The following is a 27,369-nucleotide window of genomic DNA, read 5'->3' as shown; positions in this document are numbered from 1 at the left end:
AAAACACTAAATGAACATTTATTTATTTCCATCTATACTTTCTCCCCCAAAATAATTTATATTGAATGTAGTTGGAAAACATTTGTTTTCTATGTTGTTAAACACTTAACATTTCTGTACTTTGAAGATGAATAATACAGTAAAATATAGAACATAAAAGCAGGGACCTATCACCTTATAGATAGACTAATTCTGATGAGCGAAGGAAAAACAATTTAGCCATGTATTAAACCTATTGTTGATTATTGATTACAAATTATGTATTACATTGCCACTCTGATTGTTCAAAATGATTTGTTGAAAATAGTCAACACAACTCTGTACAGTTTCAAGATTTTTGGAAAATGGAGGTCATCTTTGTAGAAGCAATGAATTATTTCCACAGTACAAAGCAGCGATTCTCAAACTCCAGTATACATCAGAATCACATGGAAGACTTACTGAAACAAGCTGGCCCAGAGTCACATTTTGAGAACCTGTGGTAAAGAGAAATTATAATGTTCATAATCATTACATGGGAAGTTTTGAAAATGTAGATTAACTCCCAAAGGTTTTGGTTCAGTGTGTCTGGGTACCAAATGTCCATCTGATTATGCCAGTGGTCCTGGAAAACATATTGAGAAACACAATCACAGAGATTAGGTAAAAGAAATTATTGTACCACTTGGTCAAAAGGTAGAGAATAAAGAGATATTGAACCAATTCAACAGATTTTGAATGTTTCTCATTTTATGATGTTAAATTTTGCAGGCTTTCAGGTATTTCATGAATTGGTGGGAAGATGCTGTACTTACTTATTGGAGATTTAATTAGCTTCAGGTTCAGACACTTAAAGGAAATGAGCTGACTACACAAAACAGGATCAAATGCTGCCTGGATCAGAATCACTTTCCCCTGGCTCCTTGGTTCTCTAGATAGAATCCCACAGGTTTGTGAAAACTGCAGATTTTTAAAAAATCAGAACTTAGTTGACCACAATTAATGGGAGAATTTAATGAATAATCTATTTGCTTCTACTTCAAGAAATGCTTACAAATATTATGGTTTTCTTATTCTTTTTTAAAATTAAAATTTATTTTCCAAATTTTAATCCATTCAGTTTCAGCTCTGACACATTTCAGCTTGAAAGTTATCAGTTCCATCTTTACAATGTGAAAAAAGCTGAACAAACTGAAAATCATCTTTTCTTGGACCCACAGGAGAAGTGATATCAAAAGACAACGACTACACCAAAATTTGGAGAAAAAGGTGAATCCAGACAGTCACAGGTGAGATCTGCCGACCTGGAGCAGAGCTGCTAGATCCATAAGCTGGTAGGAAATTTTAAGTGGTAATTTTGATAAATTCAGATTGAGTGTGGACTGTCTTGAGGGTGAGAGAACCCTGGGGGCTAGTGCATATTAGCTTGAAAATCTTATGGGGTACACCACAATTTTGTAGATTTTCCCTTTAGGAATCATGCCAGTTTCTCACTGTAAAGAGTCAAGATATCTTCTAGTATCTCTGGCAGGAGTAGAGGAGATGGTGAAACCCTATCTCTACTAAAAATACAAAAAAATAGCCAGGTATGGTGGTGCACACCTGTAATTCCAGCAACTTGGGAGGCTGAGGCACAAGAATCACTTGAACCTTGGAGGCAGAGGTTGCAGTGAGCAGAGATGGCGCCGCTGCATTCCAGCCTGGGCAACAGAGCAAGACTCTCTCTTTAAAATATACAGGTCATAATATAATGCAGAAAAGTGTATGTGTTCATACCTGTACCCTTTTTAATAAAACCAACTTCATTAGCAATTGGTATAATTCATTTCCTGATAATAGAAACTGGCTTGTGATGCTTGAACTAATTTCAGCATCAGCAAGGATATTTGGGAGTGAAAGCAGTGGTTCTGCTTAGTATTCCTGAATGACAGTAATGTCAAAGTGCTCTCATATCCCAAAAGGCTCATTTTCTTTTTGATCATGAGTGCTTTTGATCCTGAGTTCGGTCTAAGTGCAACCATCTCAAGTCTATTTTCCTGCAAGTTCTATTGAAGCAGAATGTAGTCCATGAGATGTTATACCTAATTCACCTTGTGAAAGTTTAGACTAGAGGTTTCAATCTCTTGTTCCATCCCTTCATATATATATATATATATATTTTTTTTTTTTTTTTTTTTTTTTTTTTTTCATGTTGCTCTGCAATGCCTTCAGTTATCAGCAGAGTATATTCCCTGCCCTATTGGTCATGTGATTTGCTTGGCCATGCATTTTGCTTGGCCAGTGGAATGTGGATAAAAGCATAGTATGTTGAATTTTAGTTGAGATATCAGTAGACATCAATTGTTTGTACTCACCTTCTTTGCTTCTCTGATTACCGCAAACATTGCGTGCTCTAGATGGCTGCTATGCCATCAGTCTGGGTTTGAGGATGTGAGACAAATAGAGTAAACCTGGACCCACCAAAGCCTGGAGTCCAGCCTGTCCCAACTGAGATCAGTCTAGATTATTGGAACTTCAGATAACCTGCAGAATTCATGGCCTGAAAAATAGATGTTAGTTTATGCCATTGAGATATTGATATTTTTACATAGAAATAACGAATATACACCTTTTGGTTCTTAAATCCAAACCTATAAAAGTAATAATGAAATGTTTTATATATGCATATTATTTTTAACCCAAAGAGGGACAAATAATTTATGCTTTGTAATGCTTTGATTATTCTCATTATGTACTCACTGTTCTCACTACACTCACTATAAAAGATGTCTCTGTTATACGAAAGTGACAGAGTATTTAATGTGGCTGGTTTAGCCTATGCCTAATCCACTGAATCTGTGAAAAGCAGTGAAACTAGTAAAACTGGCTATTTAACTAGTTAGGTGTTGGACTGAATACATTCAGTCAAAATGTGAGGTGATCTTACCTGAATAGAAAGAATCATATTCCCAACTAATAGTTTATTACTCTTTTTCATGTTAAGTCTTTGGTTAAAAATGGACACACTTAATTGGGTATTTTAGTATTTCCCTATAGACAGATGATTGTATTACTCAGATATTTTATTTATTCATCCACTATCTTTCACTTTTTTATAAGAACTATTTTTCTTAATGCTTTTCTATGCAGAAACTTTTTCTCTTTTATTTTCTTACTGTATTCCCCATACTGAGGTTCCTTATTCTCTATTCTTTAATATCTTGTTTCAACTTACATTTTTTTGCATGATTGCAGTGTGTCATATATTTTTGCTTCTAATCCTGATTATTTTATTTTATTTACAGCTGTCTGGGAATTGCAGGAATAGTCTTTTCAAACTTTTCTCAGTTCTTGGTTCCCAGCATGTGCTCAATAAATGTTGATTGAATGAGTGCTGATGATCTAACCAAGAAACCATCATCTTGTCTAAGCTCTTTTTTTTTTCTCAAAATTGCTTATGACTGAAAACAAAAGTCAACAGCAGAGAAGCTGTTTCCTAAAGTTTGTGTGTGATTCAGCAGGCTTGAGGTTCATCTGGGCTCATCCCAGGACATCCAAGTCTTAACAGCTGACACTCAGCTCAGGCAGGATTGGCTGGCTCTGTCAATGACCACTGGTACCTTTTCTCCGGAATTAAACTCCTCAGATTGTCAAAACCCTAACGTGAATGACATTTTACTTGGTGATTGTTAGTTCAGCAGAGAATTCCAACACTGTCATATCATCTAATTTTACTATTGACTTATATTTTTAACCAGTAATTATAATTTCTAACAAGCAGAGGACTTCTTCATTTCTAAGAATCCTTGTAAACTCAGTGACTGCGTATCCTTATTAGATCAGGTGTTTGGAATGAAACTAAATATCTCAGGTAATATTTACTAAGTGAAGCTGCTGATAAAAAGTTAAACTATTATAAAAATAAATCTATATAAACAAGTTATCTATACTAGTAAAACTGGCTATTTAACTAGTTAGGTGTTGGACTAAATACATTCAGTCAAAATGTGAGGTGATCTTACCTGAAGAGGAAGAATAATATTCTTAACTAATAGTTTATTACTCCTTTTCATAGTAAGCCTTTGGTTAAAAATGGACATGTATAAAAATAAAATAAAAAACATTCATTCTTAGCATCCTGACCAATGCTCATAATAGTGAAAATATGAATTTAGACAAAAATATTTAGTTTACATCAAAGCAATTGTTTTGTCATATTAATACAGGTACTTAAAATAAGAACCTCTTTTAATCACAAAACTCTAAAATAATATTGTCTACGCAGATTGTTGAGGCAGTGTTTTGTTTTATTCTTAATAATTTGCAATCAAAATTAGGAAAAAAAATGTTCTTAGGCCTAACCATCTATGGTAAATAGTCCTTTTAATCATCACATATCCATTAAATGTTTAGGACTTGACCTTTGTGGAATCATAGTGAACCAAAAGCTCTTTGGTATATTCATTGAATGACTCCCAGGGAGAGCCTGAGGAGCTTAAATGCCAGTTTATCTTGTGAAATATCAGACTTGAAAGCGAGGCTCGCACACCTGCCATGAGGCATTAGCAGGAGCAACAGAATCAGCAGCCCAGAGTAATGTAAAAACAGAGGCTCATTCAAACCTCTATTCCACCTAAAATAGTATTGAATTTCATCTCTCCCTGATGCTTTGGGGGCTTTATTCTTTATTCAGGGCTTACTTGTCCTGCACACTGAACCAGCAATTCTTTCTGTCTACATCAATATCTTAATTCTTCCTCCTCTTAATTAAATCAATGGCAAGTAGGTGATTCTTTTCATTTATCATAGTTATTCCTCAGACCTTTAAGATGGGATAGACTATGTGAGGACATAAAGAATAAAAATGTGGCAAGAATTAGGTAACAGAAAGATAAAAACACTAAAAATAGAATTAATTTACTTATTCATAGTTCATCTATTCAACAAATACTTTTTGAGTACTTAGTATATATAGACATTGTTCTAGGCTCCAAAGATATGGTAACAAACAGTATGTTTAAAAATGAACGGGGAAACAAGGGAGATAAAGTAAGATATAAGAACAGAGATAAGAGGTAATGGTAAAAAATATACTTTTATATCTTTATTTCTGTCTAATAACTCTGTTTTCCTTTCATTACTTATCTTTGCCACATATTTTTACCTCTCTTTTTTAAATCATGAGGTCCATATGTTCCCAGGAAATATCACTGTGCAGAGTGATTGCTTTATATTTCAGTAGTTGAGCTCAGAAGGCAAATGTTGTTTTGAAATTAATTCAAGTTTCAATGTGATTCACTTAAATATATTTAACATTTGAAATCAGACTGATTTCATCATTGGATTAACTCATCAGACACTGAAAAATAACTTATTGTTGGATTACTTTCCTAATGCTTAATGGAAACTGTTATGAGATTTTTTTAGTTAATGGTCTCATGGGGATAGTTTTCTGTGATGTCACGTATGGAAGAATTGGCTCATGCCCTACTGTACAGAATAAGCGCCTATTAAAGAAAAAGTTACAGAATCCCTGAAGTTGAGAATAAAGACGACTGGGGAATATACTTTCTTGTATAATTTATGCTAATTTAACAACCCAGAAGTCTCTGATTAACACAGCAGGAGCATGCTTATTTTAATACTTCTTATTCAAAAAACTAGTAATCATTTGATACATGCTCAGCTATAATGAAATGTTCTAAAGGACTTCCTAAAGCTTCTCAAGAGAGAAACTGATTTTTTAAACCTCCAAAGTAAAATTGTGCAGGTTTGGAGAAATGCTATATAAAGAATGCTAATGGTTGTTTTGTTGCCGTTGTTTTAGGAGTCATCAATACTTTGTGTGATAGACTCCAGGGTGGTTTCCAATATTCTCCTCCCCTTCCTTTCTATAATCCCCTCTCCTTGAGTACAGACAGAGCTTGTGATTTATTTCTAGCCGATAGAATATGGCAAAAGTGATGGAATGCCATTCCTTTGATTAGGTTATATTATATAAGTCTTAGAAGACTGGACACTCTCTCCTGCTAGCCTTGAAGAAGCAAGCTGTTGCAGTATGAACAGCCTAAGAACAGGGACATGTAGCAGGGACCTAAGGGTGGCTTTGAGGAGCTGAAGATATTTCAGCCATACTGCCACAAGGAAATAAATTATACCAACACCCACATTTAATCTGTTGCAATGCATTGTTTTGTTTAAAATATATTAAGCAAGATTTTCTTTCACATATAGTTGAAAAAGGTAGGATTATTTTCAAAACCTTTTCTTGATACCACCATTTGGAACTGCTAGGTTCTTAAAAGTTAGTTGCAACATGCAATCAGAAACCATATGAATGAATTTTGTACTCTGTGACATTAAAATCTTTTGGCCCTTATTGATTTTTTTTTTTAGATGGGGTATCTCACTCTATTGCTCAGGCTGGAGTGGAGTGGTGCAATGATGTGATCATACCTTACTGCATCCTTGAACTCCTGGCTTTAATCCTCCCACCTCAGCCTCCCAAGTAGCTAGGGCTATAGATGTGAACCACCATGCCTGACTCAATTTTTTTATTTTTTATATTTTTTTAACATCATGGATTGGTCATTTGGAAAACATTGGTTTACTGAGTGATGCAAGTATTCTGAATGTCAACATATTTGATTTTATAATGTGAAAAAAGTCACATTTGTTAATATCACCACTGATCTCATCAGAAGATACATTTTGTGGGAAGTTATCATATGGTAGATATAAATTTTTCAAAATTTTGCTTTTTGTTGGAAAGCTTACATTTTTGGCAACAAACACAAGGTGTCTTCCTTGAAGTCACAGGCTCACTTCAATTATTTCCAAGAAAATGTCTGTCAAATGCTTAAGATGCACAGAAAATACAGAAGTCAATATGCTTTTCTTATTTTTGGTTCTTAGTAATAATATTTCTCTTTAACATCAGCAAGAAGATCAATTAATAGTCAAATTGAAGTTTTGGATTAACTGTTTATTACATAGATTTCACTCTGCCTTCTCTACAAATGTCATTTATAAAATAGCATGCTGAGATATTAATTTATTGGTAGAATTTTTTCTTCATATGTGACATTTATTTTTTGATCTGTAGTACTTCTTTTGCAGTGGAAAATATTTTTTTCCTCCTTTAGAAAAACAAATAGTCATGGTTATTGACCAAAGCTAATATTTCATTTACTTTAAAAATATTTACTTAAAATCCATTTTTGTTTCATATTATATTAGAAAGATTTTTTTAAATGAGTTATTTGCATCTAAAATTTCAGTTCATGTCTTAAGCTCTGTAAGCTTAATGAGCTGTGTGTGGGCCACCATTCTCTCTGCGCTTATGTGGTAATTTCCTGATTAATACTAATTAATGACATGTCACTGTTCATTTAAAATGAATGATGAAAATGATTATTCAACCCTGATATTGAAATCACTCAGCAACTTGGCACCAGATCTCTGTGTCAGGAGGCAGTGCCAGGCTCACGAGGACTTCGTGTTATTTCCACTTGCTGCTACAGTAAACTGGAATTAAATGATGTTTGTTTTTAGGTAGACTAGGCCTCAAAAGGCATGATGGATGATTTAGCTTCCTTTCATAGCTTCTGTTTGATTTATTTATAAACGGCTTTAGGTGGTAAATTAGGTAAACTGCGTAGCCTCAGAACAGCTAAGGAGGACTTGCTTAACAAAGAGTTCAGAAATACAGACCTGTCTTGAACATTATTTTCTCCCATCTTTACCATTTCGTTCCATTTTCATACTTTCAGCCATTCTGTTTACTCAAGGTCAGGGTTTTTAGAGGAGAGTCTTCACTACTCAGAGTTCTTGATGTTGCTTCTCCTCATAGTTACTATTTTGGTAACAATTGGGGTAATTATGCAGATAAATGATCTGCCAATTTAGAAAATTTTGTTTGGTGTGTGTGTGTATCCATATATTTTGTGTATGTATGTATGTGTGTGTGTGTGTTTTTGTATGTATCCACATATTGTATGTGTGTATGTATGTATGTTGCAAATTTCTGGGAAACAGTAAATACATATCGTTTGGGTCAAAGAACAACAGCTTTACCAAATTTAACTGTTTACACATAAAAACTACTATTTTATATTAAAACTGCTAATAATAGATGCATATCAGCTAGGTAAATGAAAAAGTAATCAAAGGTATAATTTGTTGGAATCCCAATAAATATCACTAGCAAAGCCTATCTCAAAAAACAAGCTGGTTTTATTCATAATATTTCTGGCAAGGTAGAATGCTGTTAAGCACAAAGTTTTAATAATACCTATAAAAGGAAAGTTGCCGAATTATTTGTATAAATCTGGCACCAGGGTTAAGGTTAGAAATTTGGTGGTTTTTTGAGGTAGACTTCACAAGCAAGGAAACTGCTAGAGAGATAAGCTAAAATAGCCAGATGGGATTACTTTTGATTGTCTGGGGGCCTTCAAGTTAACACTTCACTGCATTTTGTATTTTCTTATTTTCAGAACTATGAAAATGGGGTGGTTTATTTAATTTTGAAGTCGGAGTAGATTTTCATTTGTTAGATTTTCAAGTTGAGATTTTATTTCTCATCTTCTCTTTAGTCATCCTTTAGCCAGAACTGCAAGTTTGACCATCTACCAAGGTGCTCAGTCCAGATCTAAACTGTGGTTGACGTTTGTCACATTCATTGACATTTGGACTTCAATATAAGCTAGCTCTTGCTTCTGTTGAGTTATTATTGTATTATCTGGAGACAGAGTGGAATTTAGGATAATGGAGACCACCATTTCAGAATTGGAACAGAGACTGTCTTCGTTCGTTTATGCTGCTATAAAGAAATACTTGAGGCTGGGTAATTTATAAAGGAAGGAAGTTGATTTGTCTCAGCCCCTGTAGGCTGTCCAAGAAGCATAATACCAATATCTGCTTCTGATGAGGGCCTCAAGGAACTTCTCCTCATGGTAGAAGGTGAAGGGGAACTAGCATGTACAGATCTCATGGTGAGAGAGGAGCTGAAAGAGTAGGGAAAAGGTGCCAGGCTCTTTTCAACAACTAGTGCTCTCAAGAACTAAGAGTGAGAACTCACTCACTCCCTTGGAAGCCATTCATGAGGGATCCACCCCCATGATCCAAACACCTCTCACCAGGCCCATCTCCAACACTAGGAATCAAATTTCAACAAGAGACTCAGCAGTGCCAAACAAAACATGTCTAAATCATAGCAGAGAACAATACTAAAAAAAGGATTGTGATGAGATTTTGTAGTTGATGCTAGGTCAGGAGCCAACTGTGCCAAGTTAAACCAAGAGCACAAATTTCAACTCTAATTTCAAAATTCAGCAGAACTAGATAGAGTGGTATTAGCCAAATTTCCTAATTTTCTAATTTTTTTTCCTCAAATAGTTTTGGTTACCTTTAAGACCCCAGAAAGACTTGTAGGGATAATGGCACAAGATTTTCCCCTGATATGTCATGTGCTCCAACTTGAGAGGACAATATTACATCTAGGGCTGCTGTGCTTTGGACCACAATCTTGTGAACTTCTTGAGTGAGAAGATAATATGTTTTAATGATATTGCCTATATCTCCTGCCAATCTCTGAACCATAGTAAGTAGGATATTAGGATGGTCCCTGTTTTTTCATGTGTGTCCTGTTGGAAAGCTTGAGAAAGAGAGGGTTAAGAACAAAAAAATAGATATCCAGAATTCCACAATTTCACATCAATGAATAAGACTTGGGTCTCAATCAAAGCCCAGACATTCTTCTTGATTTAACTTAGCTGAGGATCTCTCTCTCTCTCTCTCTCTTTTTCAAGAAAGTGAATTGATAGGCCAATATGGACCAAGAGTGATATCAGGGATTACCTCAAAAGCAGGTGCCTGTTTCCAACATTGAAGAGAGAGGCAGCAAGTCTCTCTTCAATTTGTACTTTGTAGCAAATAAGCTTTTCGGATGAAAATACACTACTAGGCATTGGTGACCACCTGATGATCAATTTTTAGCCAAAATATTCCCATAAGATTGTTTGTGTTATATGGTTACAATGTCACTCTGCAAGAGTGGTCTCGCACCAGACAGAGGAATTAAAGAGCAAAAAGTGGATCTATACTAAAAGAGCATGAATTAGGTAGGGCCTGAGTAGTATGTTTCTTTGGAAGGTTTATAAAAATGAGGCAGTTTGACTTGCGTAGAATCCATTTCTTAGTTCTTCACCAAGTTTTAGTTCTGTGAATGTTTAGTTATGAAGTCTAGCTCCTATGAAAAGCCCCAGGTTTGTTTTATGGAGACAGAATCTGCCAATATTACGTATCATGTGATAAAAATCTTTTGACTTTGTCTAGTCTAGGGTTATGTTTGCCATTTTGTGTTTGAATACAAATACTCATGAAATTAACTGATTTTCAACTGGTATGAAAGGAAGCTGGATGGCATCCAAAGAAAATTAGAAACAATTTGACTTTTGATTTGATTGCATGTTTTAGCCAAATAATGAATACATCATAGCCAGGAATTAGATGAGGAGTGAGAAGAACAATAAATAGGAATAGGGACATTAGTGGAGCAATAGTAAAGGGGCTACCAGTATCTCAGCTATCCAAAACCTTAAACCCACAGAGAGAAAAGAAGATAGCTAGGAAAATAAAGAATAACTCTATGCAGATTAAAGAAGCATTATTATTTGTGTTACACAGATTTTTAGTAGAGACTATGGGCATCAAGAATCATCTGCTCGAGCCAAAATTCCTGGTGGAAGGTGTCTGCTTTATGGCATCAACTACTTCTGAGAAATATCTAGGTATCCTCATCTGGAGGTAACCCAAGAGTTTAGATTGGCATATGGAATTGAACATGTTAAATTGTAGACCATGGACCCAAGTGTCAACACACTGAAGTCTGATTACTGTATGTATACTTAACAGTACCCAATAAAATTGTTTCCAACAAGGTTCAAGGGCAGCCTTTCTTTGTTAACTTTTTCAAAACACCAAAAATTCAGGTTGAAGATTTTGTAATGGCTGAACACAGGGATATTGTGGAGAGATAGTTTTAATTCTTGATGATGAGACAGTATCATGAATTAGCCTTTTATAATATTTAACTAAGCTTAAAGAAGATTCAGGGCTAAAATAGGTGTGTAGATATCCTCAGATGATTCAGTTTTTTCAGTATTATGTTGATTATGAGTCAGAAACAAACCACAACTTTACTCACCATGTTATTTTTTCATGGTAACCAACTTTTGTCTTTCACAATGGTAACTTTTCCTGAATAATTTTTGTGAATGTCCATTTGAGGCTATCAGTGCCAATAATCAAATATTTGGCCTCACCAAATTTATCTTGGGTTTTCCAACCAGATAATTCATATTATTTTTCTCAGAATTTTAGGCTGAATTATCAGCTTTTATGATAGACTCTTTGGAAAAATACATAGATTTATCCCTTAATCGTTGAATGGTCCTTATGGGGGGACCTATGTCAAGGGAGCTTTTTTTTTTTTGTAAATAATAATGATTAGCTAGGGCATTTTCAGTAGCTTCTAGAGCTTTGGTGTCTGATACGGTAGGCATTATCCATATGTGGCTATTGAACACTTGAATTTTGGCTAATCCAAATGGGGATGTACTGTAAGTGTGAAGCAGTAAACTTTGAATGCTTAATAGAAAAGAATGTGAAGTATCTCATTAACATTGTTATATTAGTTATAATACATTTTAAGATAATATTTTGAACATATGTGTTTAAATAAAATATATTATTCAAATTAATTGCATATTTAAATTTCTATGTGGCAACTAGGAAATTCAAAAATACATATATGGCCAATATTTGTGGCCTGTTATGTTTCTCCCAATTAACCATGTTACAGAATTTATGTTATATACTGTGAGCTTCAATTTAAATTATATCTAACTGCTTTGACAATTGAAGGATTTTAATAATTTGTGTGTTTTCTGCCTACTTTTACTGGGGGCATCAGACATGAGGAAATTTCCTTTTTCCACATCATGCCAAAATCATGTATGACCCTAAAAGGATATCTGCTGTTGGTACAGATATTGGTTCTTTGGCAATTTAGAAAATTGTGACTTTCTCTAGGAATTTTGGCTAAATAGCTGGGAAGGGATTGAATTCTAGAAGTTATACAGAGATGGGTCTTGCATATCCAGCCTGGTATTTTCTTTGATCATTCCTTAAGTAAATGCCATCTATAAAACTGTTAGGTGGGGAATTTGTGTTATTGTGTCTGTGAACATTGGTGCACAAATCTTTGAGGTAAATGTGTTTTTACGTCTTTTGGGGAAATACCTAGAATGAGGTTGCTGGGATATATGGTAAATGCAAGTTTATGGTTTTTTTTTTTTGGTATAGATTTAAGGGGTATAAATGCAGTTTTGTTTACATGGATATATTGTGTAGTGGTGAAGTCTGAGCTTTTAGTATAGCCATCAATCAAATAATGTACATTGTACCCATTAAGTAATTTCTCATCCTTCACCCCCTCCTATCCTCCCACCCTTCTGAGCCTCCAGTGTCTATTATTCCACACTCTATGTCCTGTGTGCATGTTATTTAGCTTCCACTTATGAGTGAGAATATGTGGTATTTGACTTTCTGTTTCTCTTCCCATAAGATAATGGTCTCCAGTTCCATCCATGCTGCGCTGCAAAATACATGATTTTATTTTCTTGTGGTTGAATAGTATTTCACTGAAATAGTATACCGTTGTATACACACAGACACACACACACACACACACACACACACTACATTTTCTTTATCCAATCATCTGTTGGTAGACAGTTGACTGATTCCTTATCTTTGCTATTGTGAATAGTGTTGTGATAAACATATCTGTGAAGGTGTCTTTTTTAACATAATAATTTCTTTTCTTTTGGGTAGATATCCAGTAGTGGGATTGCTGGATCAAAGAATACTTCTATTTGCAGTTCTTTGAGAAACCTCCATACTGTTTTCCGTAGAGGTTGTACTAATTTACATTCCCACCAACATTGTATAAGCGTTCCTTTTTCTCTGTATCCACACCAACATCTGTTATTTTTTGACATTTAATAATAGCTATTCTGACTGGTATAAGATGATATCTCATTGTGGTTTTAATTTGCATTTCTCTGATGATTAGTGATGTTAAGCATTTTTTCATATGCTTGTTGGCCATTTGTATAAAATTGCCAAACTATTTCCCAGAACAACTGTGTTACTATGTAGTATCACTGGCAGTACAGAAGAGTGCCAGTTGCTCCACTTCCCTGCCAAATTTGATGTTTTCTTTTACAATTTTGTTTTAATTCTAGTGGGTATATAGTAGTATCGCATTGTGGCTTTAGTTTGCATTTTCTAAAGGCCTATCATGGCAAATATCTTATATGTTCCTAATTGGCATTTATATTTCATTTTATAAAGTGGCTGTTTAGTTCTTTGTTCATTTTTGTTGGGTTGTAAGAGCTTTTTAAAATCTATATTCTATATGAGCTTTTAAAAATCTATATTCTAGATTAAGTTTTTAAAGCAGGTATATCTTTTACAAATATTTTATATTAGTCTATGACTAGTCTTTTCGTTTCCTTAACAGTGTCTTTCAAAGAACATAAATGTTTAGCTTTGATAAAGTACAAATTATTTTTTTCATTTACTTGTTTTATTTGTATCCCACTTAAGAAACGTTTTTCTACCCTATGACTGAGAATTTCTACTGCATTTACTTTGAGACATTTTATAGCTTTGACTTTTACATGTAGGTATAGATTAATTTTGAGTTAATTTTCATAGACGAGGAAAAGTTCAAGGTTCATTTCACCCCTGTATATACCCAGTTGTTTCATCACCATTTGTTAAAAAAATTTTTTTCTCCCCACTGAAATAGCTTGATAAATTTATTGGAAAAAATCTGTTGACCACATATAGGTTGGTTTATTTCATGTTCTGTTTGGTTCCTTTACTCTATATGTCTATCCTTGTGCCAATATTACAATGACTTGATTGCTGCACCTTTATAGTAAGTCTTGAAATTAAGTAGTGTTCTCAAACTTTAACAAATTTTATAATGTTATTTTGGCTTTTCTAGGTCCTTTGAATTTTTATGTAAAGAAATCAGTCAATCTAAAAACACTGTTAGTATTTTATATAGTGTTTGAGTTGCATACATAGACCAATTTGGGGAGAAATTCCATCATAATAATATTGAGCCTTCCAATCCTTGAATGTGGTAGAGTTGTCCATTTATTTAGCCTTCTTTAATTTCTCTCTGCATTATTTTATTGTTCTCATTGTGTAAGGTCTAGAACATATATTATTAAATTCATCTCACAGTATTGTTTGTTTTTAAAGATATTTTAAATGCAATAGTTTATATCTCATTTCCAAGTGATTCTTAACATATAGAAGCACAATGGTTGTTTGATATTTATTTTTCATACTGCAAAATAGATAAACTCATTTGTTAGTTCTAATAGAATATTTTTTTGTAAATTGCTTAAAGTTTTCTACATAAATGAATTTACCATTGGCAAATAAAAAGTTTTCTCTCCTCTTTCTAATCTCTATGGTTTTAAAAATTAATTTTATTGCCTTCTTTGGCATCTACCTTAAGGGAATCAGTCATTTAGGCAAAATTTACACATTATCAGTATGGAATTTTTCATGGATTATCTGGTAGTATTAGCCCATCAGTATTCTTGTAAAAGCCAACTCTTCAATTTTGTTTTGAAGCTTGTATAGCTTGGGTATAGAGATGACTAATTCAACAATAATTTGTTTATCGGTAGGAGAATTTTCTGGGTCTTCTGAAAAAAGTCTCTTGTTTACAGCTCCCTTTATAGAGTAAGTTTCTGTTGATGAAATTGGCACAAGTATTATTTGGTTTTCTCTTCTTTATGTTTAGAAAACTCTTTGAAAATGGCATGAAGTTCAGCCTGAAAGCAATATTTAGTTTCTTGAAGGAACTTCTTGAGGAAAAGGACATTCTTGTAGAGTATCCTTAAAGACAAAAATTCTTGTAGAGGCTTAAGGAGTGATAGAAGGAGGAGGTAGAAAAAGTGAAAGAGAAGATCAGAGATTGAAATGAGTTTCTCTTTAACCTTTGCAAAGTGACCTTTAAGGATGCTAATTTGAACTCTCTTTGAAGAGTATCTACATATCAATTTAAAAATGATTATTGGATGTTTTGATTCTTATTATCTTGTTAACCTGAAAGGTAATACACTGTTAGACATATCAAATGTTCCACAGAATGGCTTCTGTATTTTCAAATGGTCCTTGGTAAAAAAAATTATGCCATTTAGAGAGATAGGTGCATGATGAGAGCTTAAGTGGATATAAGAATTTGTAGGACTGCTAGGAGGTGGTTTATATTAACTATTATACAAACCCACGAACAACATAAATATGTTTGGTTGAAAGTGTCTAGTTATAATATTCCATGCCCTAAGTCCCCCATCTCTTCCTGATCGTCCCTGATCGTCAGATCATCTCTACAACAACTGAACAATTGATGGTCCCCCACAGGCAGAATATATACGGAAGCAATCTACGTAAGAGTAAACTTTTCAAATACAAGATAAAAGGTAGGTGGTGCTTACATAGTTTTGAAGGAGGACCCAAGGCAGTTTGTTGTAGAAAGGATGATTTTCTAATGAGAATTTTAACTTATTAGTCATTAGGGGAGATTTGGAGAATAGATTAAGTAGGGAGTATCTCTGTCTTCTATCCTATGAGTTTTCTTATGTAAATATACAACAGGAGATTACATTCTTTAGAAATAAAAAAAAAATTAAGAGGCAAAAGTGATAGTTGGCAGCTTTCACCAAAGAAAATAAGTAGTTAACTTTGGTTAGAAATAAAAATATTCCCAAAGGACAAATTCCTAAGATGCAAGATGAACCCAGCAGGGGGCTTACTGCATAAAGATCAGAGCTTATCTCTTGCTGGAAAGTTATTTACCACAGCAGCCTAGAACAGACTCCTGGCAGGAGTGGGTCAAGGGGTATTGGAAGTGCCAGACAGTCTCAAGTCAGAGGTCTTGGGCCACATAAGAAGGGAGTTTTGAATAGGACCCAGTGGAGCCTCATAAAATTGTACGGGTCCCCACAAAGATCAACAGAAAAACCATTATCAAAACCAAGTTGATTTTTATTAATCATCTTGTCCAGAAATAAATACAAGGTTTGGAAAGAGCAGTTACAAAGGAGGTTTTACGGAATTGAGACTGGCACATGGGAGACTTGCGTTTGAGTTTCTAAGGCAGGGAATGAAAAGGGACTGGATAAAATGGGCAAACTGAAGTCACTTTTCATCATCTGGAGTCTACAGAGCAGGTCTTTTAAGCAAAATGTCTACTGAAACTTTTATGTTCTTATCTTCCCAGAACAGTTGCAGCAATGGGATTGATTCATGCTTGCTTTGCAGTTTTGATAAATTCCCATTTCTTAGGTTCTTTAGTTCAATTTTTATTACACAAATTGAATTGTAAGTTTACCTCATATTGCCTAGACAGCTATAAGTATCTCTTCACACCATTTGCAGTCACTAAGTTCTTTTCAATTCACATTAATTAAGATATAAAATTTAACAGAGTCAAAATGCTTTCAATATAGATTATAACCAAACACCTTTGTATAACCCCTGGAAGGTAAATTCACATGAATCTGTTTAGCATGTCAGGGGAACTAAAGGATGAAAATAGTGACTAAAATCAACACATAAGAAACATGACACCTAATGTTGTGGCTATGTTGAAAGGCATTCTGATATGGTTTGGCTGTGTCCCCACCTAAATCTCATCTTGAATTATAATCCCCATATTCCCCACCAGTCTAAGGAAGTGGGAGGTGATTGGATCATGAGGGCCATTTCCTCATGCTGTTCTCATGATAATGAGTGAGTTCTCACAAGATCTGATGGTTTTATAAGGGGTTCTTCCCCCTTCACTCCTTGTATTTCTCTCTCTCCTGCTGCCATGTGAAAAGGTCCAAGCTTGCTTCCCTTTTGTCTTCCACCATGATTGTGAGTTTCCTGAGGCCTATCCAGCCGTGTGGAACTGTCAGTCAATTAAACCTCTTTCCTTTATAAATTACTCAGTCTCAGGTAGTATCTTTATAGCAGTGTGAAATACTGCTAATACACATCCTTAGGCCTTACCTCAAAATTCTGGGTAACATTTTGGTACCAGACACAAAGATTCTGGTTAGTATTTACACCATGAAACATTAGGAAAGGTATCCAAGAGAGATTTGGGGGCTTCCCTGTGTTGCTAATACGCTTCTTGAGAACTAGACTAGATTTGAATTAACAGGTCCAGGGGAGTCTGAATCCCAAAGCTGATTTTCTTGAAATTAGAAAATGAGTCCCATAAATTTGATGACACCAGTTTAGAAGCTTCCAACTCACACTAGACTCCTGAAGTGAAAGAAACAAATGAAAAAAAAACAACAACAAAAATGAAACAAAACAAAACAAAAAAACAACTAGTGCTGCTCAATTCATAGAACTGCTATTATAACTCTATATTTTTGGTAAATATCGTAATACGTTAAATTTGTATAGCTTGTTATAGTTTACCCAACTCATTTGGTCTTCAATTTTTGGTATGATGGAAAGTCTATTATTCTCTTTTTATATATGGCAAAATTGAGGCTCAGGAAGATGAAGTGAGTTGCTCAAAGTCACATGGCTAGCAGGTACTAGGTTTGGGATTCGAACTTATGCCTTTTGGTTGTAAATTCAACTCTTTTTATACTAAATTTTAGCAAAGGATATTGTGAAAATTTCTCCCTTGGTCATCACATATTTTAAGATCCATTTTCCATGGAAAGATGAACTTGAATTGGTATTAGCAACTTCCCCCCACCCCAGGTAATCTTCATATACTTCTTCCCCAAATCTTTTACCCTGAAGATAGAAACAATAACTTTGTCAATACCATTTTAGAGACAATGGTGCTGATATTAGCAATGTAATACATTTTTTAAAAAGTCATCAAATGGTGTCATACTTATATAATTTTGGTCTGTTCATAAAACAGACAGTTACCAGCAATTAAAAAAACACTGATGATTAGGCAACAATATTGATAAATCTCAGAGACATTAGGTCACCTAAGGCAGCCAGGCACAAAGTAGTACATTGGTAAGAACTGTATACATTCATTTTTATGAACTAAGACAAGTAAAACCATCTATGTTGGAAAAAAAGTCAGAAAACTGTCTCTTGTCGGGGGATTGAAAAGAAAATTTTCTTGGAGACAGAAATTATCTATATTTTGATAAAGGTGTAGATTATATGGGTGTTATATATGTATCAAAAATAAAATTTAGTTTTATACTGAAGATTTGTGTATTTGTGTATTTGTAAATATTTAACTTAGAAAAAGACTTGCTTAAATTAGTTTGCTTTACCCAGTGGTATGGATTAGTTAATAATTCTGAAAACAATTTTTCTACTTTTTGTATCACTAGGCTTAAGCAAATTTATAAATATATCAATGATAGTAGAAATTGTAAGTAGCAGTATGAACTCATCAATGTGTGTGTATGTGTGTGTGTTTATTTAATCAAACTTAATGCCCATACTTAAGTGTCTAGATATCATTTTTCACTTAAAGGAACCAGGGACCTTTGGAATAAATGCTGACTCCGGGACTGGTGCAGAGAAAGTGTAAAATGACCCTAGAATGCCTTGTTGTGCCAGAAATTCATGAAGTGTTTAAGAAATAATTGGAAAAATCTCAAAATTTAGCAGAAGTCAGCTTGATGGGGTGCTCACTGGTCAACAATGGGGCAAGTTTAGCATGAAAATAATGACAGAAACAAAATGTACATTAATAATAAAAAATTCTGGGAGTTCACACTGTTATAAATTAATCAATTTGTTAATTAATGGGGGAAAAAGAAAAGCTCTTTCTTGTAGAAGAATGCAGGCTAATAAATGTCCAAGGAATAATGGAGTTAGAATATTACAATGGCTTAAAATTCGTGAGTGGAAGTTTGATTAGGAATAGGTTATTAATAGAGTCTCAAAGTATCTCCCGAGACATTACTTATTAATTATAAAGTAAAAAATGGAAAATTTACAGTGGAGAAACCAGGCAAACATCAGGAACCCACTGACTGAAGTTGACATCAATGATTTGGAGACAGCCAACATCATGTATTGATGATACGGTATACTCAGAAGGACACAAAATCCTGACAAAATATATAACTTGAATTTCACTGGGAGGAAACACCAAGCAACCTAAACTGAGGGCTATTCTACCAAATCACTGCCACATCAACTTTTCAAAAAATTAAATTAAGAAGACAATGAAAAGTTAAGAAACTCTTCCAGACTAATGGAGACTTAAGAGTCATGACAATTAAATATAGTATGAGATCCTGAATGCATCCTGGACAGGTAAAATCCAATAGCTATAAAGGACATTATTTGGTCAGCTAGTAAAAACTGATAATGGACTGTGGGTTAAATAGTGGTGTTGAATCAATGTTATATTTTTCTCTTTTGCTAATTGGATTGTGGCTAAGAAAATGCTCTTATTATAAAATGCACACTGAATAATTTAGGAGTAAAGGGGCATTATGTCTCCAATTTACTCTCAAAAGCTCAGAAGAAATTATATGTCTATGTGTGTGTGCATACACATATGTGCCCTGGATGGGTGGGGAGAGGTGAGACAGAAAGAAAGGGGTAAGCAGAAGAAGGAGAAGGTGAGGAAGAGTGAAAAAGCAAATTGAGCAAAATGTAAAAAAAATTGTTGAATATTGGTACAAGGTATAAGGGGTTTCTTGTATTATCCTAAAACTTTCATGCAATTATATTAACATGCAATGATACACATATGCACACACGCACAAAATCTATCAAAGGTAATACAAGTGGATTCAGAAGTAAAGTTTAATATCTCTATTGCCAGGTATTTCTTCTCATCTTCTCTCTGTCCACAGATATCTTTCTTCTCTTTTTATTTTTGATTTTATCAGGTTAATCGATCATCCAATCTTTTCCTTAGTCAGTCTACCCCAAATACCTTGAATTCTTTGTCAAACTGAAATTATGCAATGTGGTTTTTCATATTTAAATGCTGCAGAAGATAACTCTGAAAGCAAGAAAGGATCAGGATAAAGAGCTGAGAATAAATGCACTTGCAGATAAACCATTCAATTCAGGTTAATATACATTGCACTATGCTTTTAAAGTTAGAAGGATAACTACAATGCACTTGTTTTCTTAAAGAAAGAATGTAGGAATACAACGATACTTTGTCTTCAAAAATATAGTTTAATAAATTAGGTAAAAATTTTCAACTGAAAGGAGATATTTCTAAATATACCTTATTTTCTTTTAATGAATAATTTTGTTATCCTTTTATAGTAAATTATGCTCTTTATTTTAAATGGTGAGCTTTCTTTACAAGTGCAAAGAAAGATTTTCAGGCTTCCATTTTCTCTGGAGAGTTAATCAGATAGAAAAATCTTGTTGCCTAAGGCTTTTCACATTCAGATGAACAAAAATGTAGTCTAAATGATAGATACAAATCTATCATTTTTGTGATCTGATAGCATATATTAAGTTTCTGGCTTTGGCAATAAAAATAATGCATAATAACTAACTAAGAATAGTAGGTCGGATACTCAAAATTTAAGAATTTTTTTTGAGTTTTTACTATCTATCTATCTACCATCTATCTATCTATCTATCTATCTATCTATCTATCTATCTATCTATCATCTATCTATCTATGTCAGTATGACCACCTATGGCCTTAATTTAGTAATAACAAATTGAAGCTAAGTGTTTTCTAACTAAAATAGGTGGGTCTGTTAGATGATGTGTCTATCTAAGGTTGACTCTTCCTGTAATTTCTAGGAACATAGAAATTATGAATAGGGATGACTGACTAGTTGTGTCTTTTTAATCAAGAGCTATTAGTTTTAAAAAATACTATATAAAAATTTTTCCAGATGAAAAAACATTAAATGACATAGACAAAATATTTTTAATATAGGTTAATAATAGTATTTTTACTAAAAATAGAGCTACTAACATAGTGCTTCAGCACAGTTTCAACCCCAGAAAGTCCAGTTTACATTTGAAAACATCATCATGTTATGAAAATATCAAGACTTGTAACTCTGACTTGAAATCAGTGCTAAGTTACAAGTTCTATGCTACTTATGCCATAGGATTTCATAGGATAATTGAATAGTTTTGGGATTTTTGTTTGTTTCTTTTTAGAAACTGTCTAGTCAAACACAATTATTTAAATCATAAAGTGACTGAATCAAAGTAAAGTAAAATATCTGTTCAAGGTCATATAGAAAATTCACTACCAGCAAGTTTATCCTAAAGTGTTTGAATCCAAGTCTTGATCTTTTAGAATTTTGGGGATAGCAGTTCACCTCACCAGGTTTGAGTAGAGTGTCATTAAGATAGTTCCAGGAAAACTGAGATTGAATTAAACTCCTGGGGTTTCCAAATGCTACCTCTTTGGAACATCTTATCAACTCTTTTGGCTGATATCAGCCTTGGCCCTGATATTTCTATATCAACCCCAACATTACACATAAACTCCAGATACATACTATCAGCTACTGATGGATATTCCTAACTGAATATTCCACAGATATCTAGCTCAAAAGCAGTGTGCCCCCATGTGCTTGGAAACTTAGTCTGTCTCATGTGCATTTCTTTTCTTTTTATTTTTTTTTGAGTTTTTACTAATTGTTGCTAGGGTTATTGTTGTCCAAGATTCATTGTTTTGCATGTGTGAAGAATACAGCTATTATTTATATTATATATAAACTCAATTTTTAAAAAGTTTATTTTTACTGAATGTTTCCCCAAACATTTAAATACTACTGATGTGACTAGTAAACTGCAAACCAATTTAAGTAGAGTTATCTTGAACATTTTAAGTATTAATTACAAAGCTAATTCTCCTAAACAGTTCAAAACAATAACATTTCCTAAATGTTCTAGACAAGTGAAGCCAGGTTAAATCACTATAATAATGATAATCTAATGTTGTAGTATATAATTGTTTGAAAATATAAATACAATGGCTTGAAATTTATTTTCCTTTTCTTCATAGATACTTCTCTGTCTTGCTATGGTCAAATTTTTACAAGACCCAGAAAAAAAGAATACATTTTTGCCACTTCAAAAGTTGCAATTCTGGGTTATTAAGCAATTGATACTTGCCCAAGAAATAGCAACTGCTTGTGATTGCCAAAATAAGCCTTTTTGAATTGAGTTTCTTTTCATAATCAAGTTCTTTTTGCTACATGTATAACATTTTCCATGTCCAGGACATTTATTGCAGCTTATTGTGTCCTTCTTTGCTGCTATGGTTATCAAGCCTCACCAAAGGACATCGTGTTCCTGTTTACTCTGTATTTCATGATGCCTCATAAGATCTGACTTTATTTGTAAGGTCACCCCGAGGTTTCAGCTGTCAAGAGATAAGAGATGGAATTTACAATGTCAGAGTTGACTACAAAGTCAACTTTAAAAATTATGTTAAAACAACAATAATTTTGGAAGACACAGCTGAACAGTCTTCTTACCTATTGTTGAAGATAACAAGAACTGATGAGTCTTTCTTCTTTTTGGTACATTTTCTATAGTTTTATTACCATTTGGTTAAATCACAATTTTCTATAGCTATCTTCATCATTTATGCAGATAGAGAATAATGTGTATCTATATGTTATCAACAGACACACTTAATAGAAGAAATAGAACAGGAGTATTATGTATATAAATAATTTCTATATATTAAAATATATTAACATTATAAAATTCAAATATAGTCTTAATTCAGCTAATGCACATACATTTTATAGAAAATTTTCCACTTTTGAATATTATCAATATTTGGCTTTTAAATGTTTTAAATTTAATTTTGTTTTTATTAGACTATACAACTTTCAAATACAAATAGCTAAATCTGTATTTATAAATTTGTATTTAATATATAACTTTCAAATACAAATAGCCAAATTACTAAAAATTCAAATAGACATTTTTTATTTCATAGATATTTTTCCATTTTGTCTTCCCAACATTTTAAGTGAATTTGGAATTTAAGATATATTAATTTATAATGATTATGTTGGAGAGGTCTCTCTCATTCTTTCAAAGTTCATTCCTTATCGCAATTTACATTTTAATGGATATAACTTGCTCTCTTTTCTCTCTGAGGATGTAAGTTATAGTTTCACCAAGAATTTTTTTTGTTTCTATTTTTGTTTTTGCCTCTTATCTGTACAGTTGTTATGCCATCAGGAATTAGCAATATGGTAGCCAACAATCCCCAAACCAAAGGGGTTTATACCAGCAGCTTTATTTCTTGCTCACTTTTACATGTTGCCTGCAAGTCAATGGTGGCTTCCCTCCCAGGTCTGTCATTCTGGGATCCAGGCTGCACGAGAGGCCCTTACGTGCTTTGTCATTCTCCTGGCAGAGGAAAAAGTGCCAAGGTGCAACTGCTTGATGGCTGTTACCTTGGGTGTGGCCTACCTCATTTATATACAGATTCCACTGGGGCAAAGCAAATCAGTTGTGTCAGGAAGTAAATACCTTCCATAGGGAGGTCACTAGAAATAATTTTATCAAGTGATTCATGTTTCTCTACTCTGCTCCTAATTAGAGTGAGGCCCTGTAAGAGCTTCCTGGAAGTTTTCTGTTTTGAGGAGAATATTGTCAACTGGTGTGCCTCACAGTGGATTGCTTCAAAGCAGATCTTGTCTTTTCAGTGGGGGAACCCCCAAATATTAGTCTGTATAAGTCTCTCTGCAGAAGATTTTCCTTCCATCTCGCCTGTGATGGTATGAATCCAGCTACCAGCATTGTGGGGTAAGTGCAGAGAACAGGAGTGGGTAGCAATGTTCAGTGTGCACATTGTTATTTACTCTGTCTGATTTCAGAATGTCATCCAATGCCACCCTCAGCTCTGCCTCAAAGCTTCAATTGAGATCATCTCTTCTTCAACTGCAGAGGGGGAACCTCCCATCTTCTGCTGGTGTCAGGTGGTAGTGGGTGGGAGGGCAATCTGGGAGTACAACTGCTCATTAAACAGGCCTTTAAATAATGGTTCTGTGTTTAGCCCTATTGTACATCCTGCACCTCAAACATTTTATGATGAAAATCAGTTTGCTTTCCATCCTTCGCCTCCCCCGTACCTTGTAGGCAGTTGCAGTTTGGCTTTCTCAAGTCAGTTCTGGTAAAGGTATTCTCTGGAACCAGCCACTTAGACTAGATTTTACAGTATATTGGTATAATGCTATACGTAACTCTTTATTTCAACTCTCCCCTTGTTTAAACTCATATGACACATATATTTCATTTATGATGAAGTACTAAGGAAGAGAAGCCCCTACTTTCTCATGAATTTGTAGGTGTTTATGTGAGGCCTTGTACTACAATACGTATGTTATTTTCTTCTTTCTTAATCTCTGTTTTCTTTCATTTTGATGACACTTTCGTGGATAAAATATGTAGTTATAACAATTATTGTCTCTTAAATATTTTATTCTTAAAATTGTAACTTTCTTAATATTTTGGAAATTAAAATTATTTTGTGCCCAGTGCAGCCCACATCTGGGCATGTTGGAAGTCATTAAAGTTGAATGCTACTGAGTTTCTCTAAGGGGGTTGGTGGTGCAGAGATGTTTACTAAGGTGATACAAGAAGGACCACTGTGATAATGGAGAAGGAGAGATTTGTCTTCAGTATGGACCACAATCAGGTTTACATCTGCCATAGTTGGGTAGGATATAATTATTCCAACAATGAAATATCAAAAGAGAATCATGATTGCAACAGAGAAGCTACACAGGATCATGTGCTTATATTAGAGGGCACAGAACGATCCAATGCTTCATTCAAAAAACAAACAAACAAACAGGCAGCTCTCATTTTGTAAAGCATATTGGATGTAAGGAAAGCCTTACTGCAATCCATTGATAAAGTCTGTATGTGAGATGGGCTTTAGCAAATACAATGACTAAAGACTTCTGCAGATAGAAATGAGTCATAAAATAAGAAAACAACTATTCTTAGAGTAAATGATGTGTTATACGAACAGCAGTTTGTCTAACAGGGGGATTGTGTAGAATCTGGAAGAATAATAATCTTGGGGTGAATTATAACACTTGCTAGAGGCCCCCATTAGTTCCTTATTGTGAAGGAAGTAGATACGTATGTGTGTGTGCATGTGTACACACACACACATATATAAATACATATATTACAGGTTAATGTATGTCCATGGTGGTTGTGAATACTTCTATGTATTATTTTATGGTCAGTTATACACAATTCTTATTTAGAGTATCACTTCATTCTCAACAAATTCTTTTGCTGTCTTTCTAAATTCTAATTTAAAGCTACCTCCTTTAGACATTGTCAGTCTTGAATAATCTATGTTACTATCCGTATACAGATATTTTTCTGAATGAGCTATCTATTATAGCAGCAGAAAAGATATATTTCTGATACAAGTCAGGAGTGCCAGTCTAACTGCTAGTCCTGAAGCCCTCATCCTTGCCAAGACTCTGAAATTGGGGTCATTTAGTCCATACATGTCAACTCACCTAGTACTAACTTCATCTTCGAGAAATTCATCTCTCCTGTGGGGTTTATTGAAGCTATAACCCAAGAAATCAAGGAACGTGGATTCTACATTGATCTGAGAGTGATTTTTGTTGTTCTCCGGTAAGTTCTGATACATTTTACCAAAGCAGTGCAAAAATATAATGAAACTGATGTTTTGTCTGTTAATTGGCTCTTGAAATGCAGCCAACAGGTACTAGCATAAATTCTGAAAGTCCTAGGGTGATTACAATTTCTAATCAATAAAGTTTTATTTTGGGGGTGTCTGATGCTTTAGCACATAAAAGAACACACAACCAGTAGTACCTTTTCTGCTGAAACCCTAGCTGATAGCATGGAATTTTGCAGGCATCGACAAAGCAATTTCATAGACATTGTAAAATCGTTCAGGTAATAAATAATATTCAGAAGTGGCTTCGTAAGGGGTGAGGAGTAAGGATATAATAATGGCTACATGATTTGCTGATTGCTTTTTATCTGGCTACCTTAAGCTGTCTAATGCCGTGTGTCATTTTGGAATACAAATGCCACCATTCCGAAAAAACCACATATGGTTCAGAAACTTGTATCAGCTCATGAAAGTTCTTCAGCATCTTCTATTAACACTGGCTAGAGATGACATTTTCTGATTATTCTCTGAAAACAACTTGTCAAAAAGACATTCCAGGGGCTTATCTTTATCTACCTTTATTTCATCAAGTTTAAGTCTGGTTACTCTATGGTGGTCTCTTCTGCTCTATCCATGCTTATCATTCTGGCTTGTATGTTTGTGGGGTTCTGCCTCCAGGCCTTTTCTTGCATGTGCCTTTCCAATTTCAAAACAGACATTTTCCAGGAAGCTTTTCTAATTGGTCTCATCTGATCATTTCTGTGGCCAAATTTAGTCAGATACATAATCCTCTGTTCACTTGTGTTCTTGGATATGTCACTATATAATGATTCTTTAATTCTTTATTATTGATGTGGGTAACACATTTTAACTTATTTTAATATCCTTGGTACTTATATTGGTACTTGAATAATACTAATATGTAGAGAAAACTCTAGTGGTTGGACTAAAATAAGATGCAGTAAAAGAAAAAAGTAAAATAACATAAATGCACACCTAGAATTCCATTGTGAAGTTTAACATACAGACTTACGTGTGATTCTGAGGACTCATGGCTGCAAAATTTGTGATTTCAAGTTTGAGACTCTTGTATTGATCTAAAGTAAGATCACATTGATGGTGGACAAAAAATACCTTTTTTTCCCCTCAAACAAGAACATCTCATCTGTCTACCTTCTGGAAGACAGATAAAAGATTATAAAACTGAATAGAATCCTGTACATTGAGAACAATGAAAAATATGAGATGTTAATTTCAAAGGCTTAAGCTTTCATTCCTTCAACAGGAATGAAAACAGACACTTCCCTATTTGGTAATCATGTGCTTATGAGTAGACATTATTTTATATCCTCCTTCTAGCATAAGGTTCTTTGAGATTGTAGCTGACCATCAGTAACAGCTTAAAGGAAACAGAAATTCCATAGAGGAACACTTAGGGGAAAAATGGTTTTCTTTTTTAATCAAAGAATGAAGAAAGGGTAAAGCAGAATATCCAGTATGAATAAGCCATTTTCTACCTGCTGTACTTGAAGTTGTCCAAGAAAATATAACATTTGCTGGCAACTTCAAACATTGCTCTATAATATTTTGACTATAAAAATTTATATTAACTGCAGCTTATGATTATTGAGCACTTATATTTGCCATGTATGGCACTTTTTCTTTTTATAGACATCCTT

At 34.0% G+C, this 27,369-nt stretch overlaps 1 long non-coding RNA gene across 1 annotated transcript in view; it reads left to right on the top strand.

Moving 5' to 3' along the window:
- Nucleotides 1-27,369, top strand: part of LOC105376755 (uncharacterized) — a 673,333-nt gene that overhangs the window by 338,802 nt on the left and 307,162 nt on the right. Inside the window, exon 3 of the long non-coding RNA XR_007088699.1 lies at nt 1,200-1,268. This is a non-coding gene — a long non-coding RNA (uncharacterized LOC105376755). The remainder of the gene's footprint in view (nt 1-1,199; nt 1,269-27,369) is intronic.

This window comes from Homo sapiens, chromosome 2, assembly GCF_000001405.40.
Source record: "Homo sapiens chromosome 2, GRCh38.p14 Primary Assembly".
Lineage (NCBI taxonomy): Eukaryota > Metazoa > Chordata > Mammalia > Primates > Hominidae > Homo > Homo sapiens.
The sequence above is the reverse complement of the archived record's forward strand: the minus strand, read 5'-3'. Positions and strand labels throughout refer to the sequence as shown.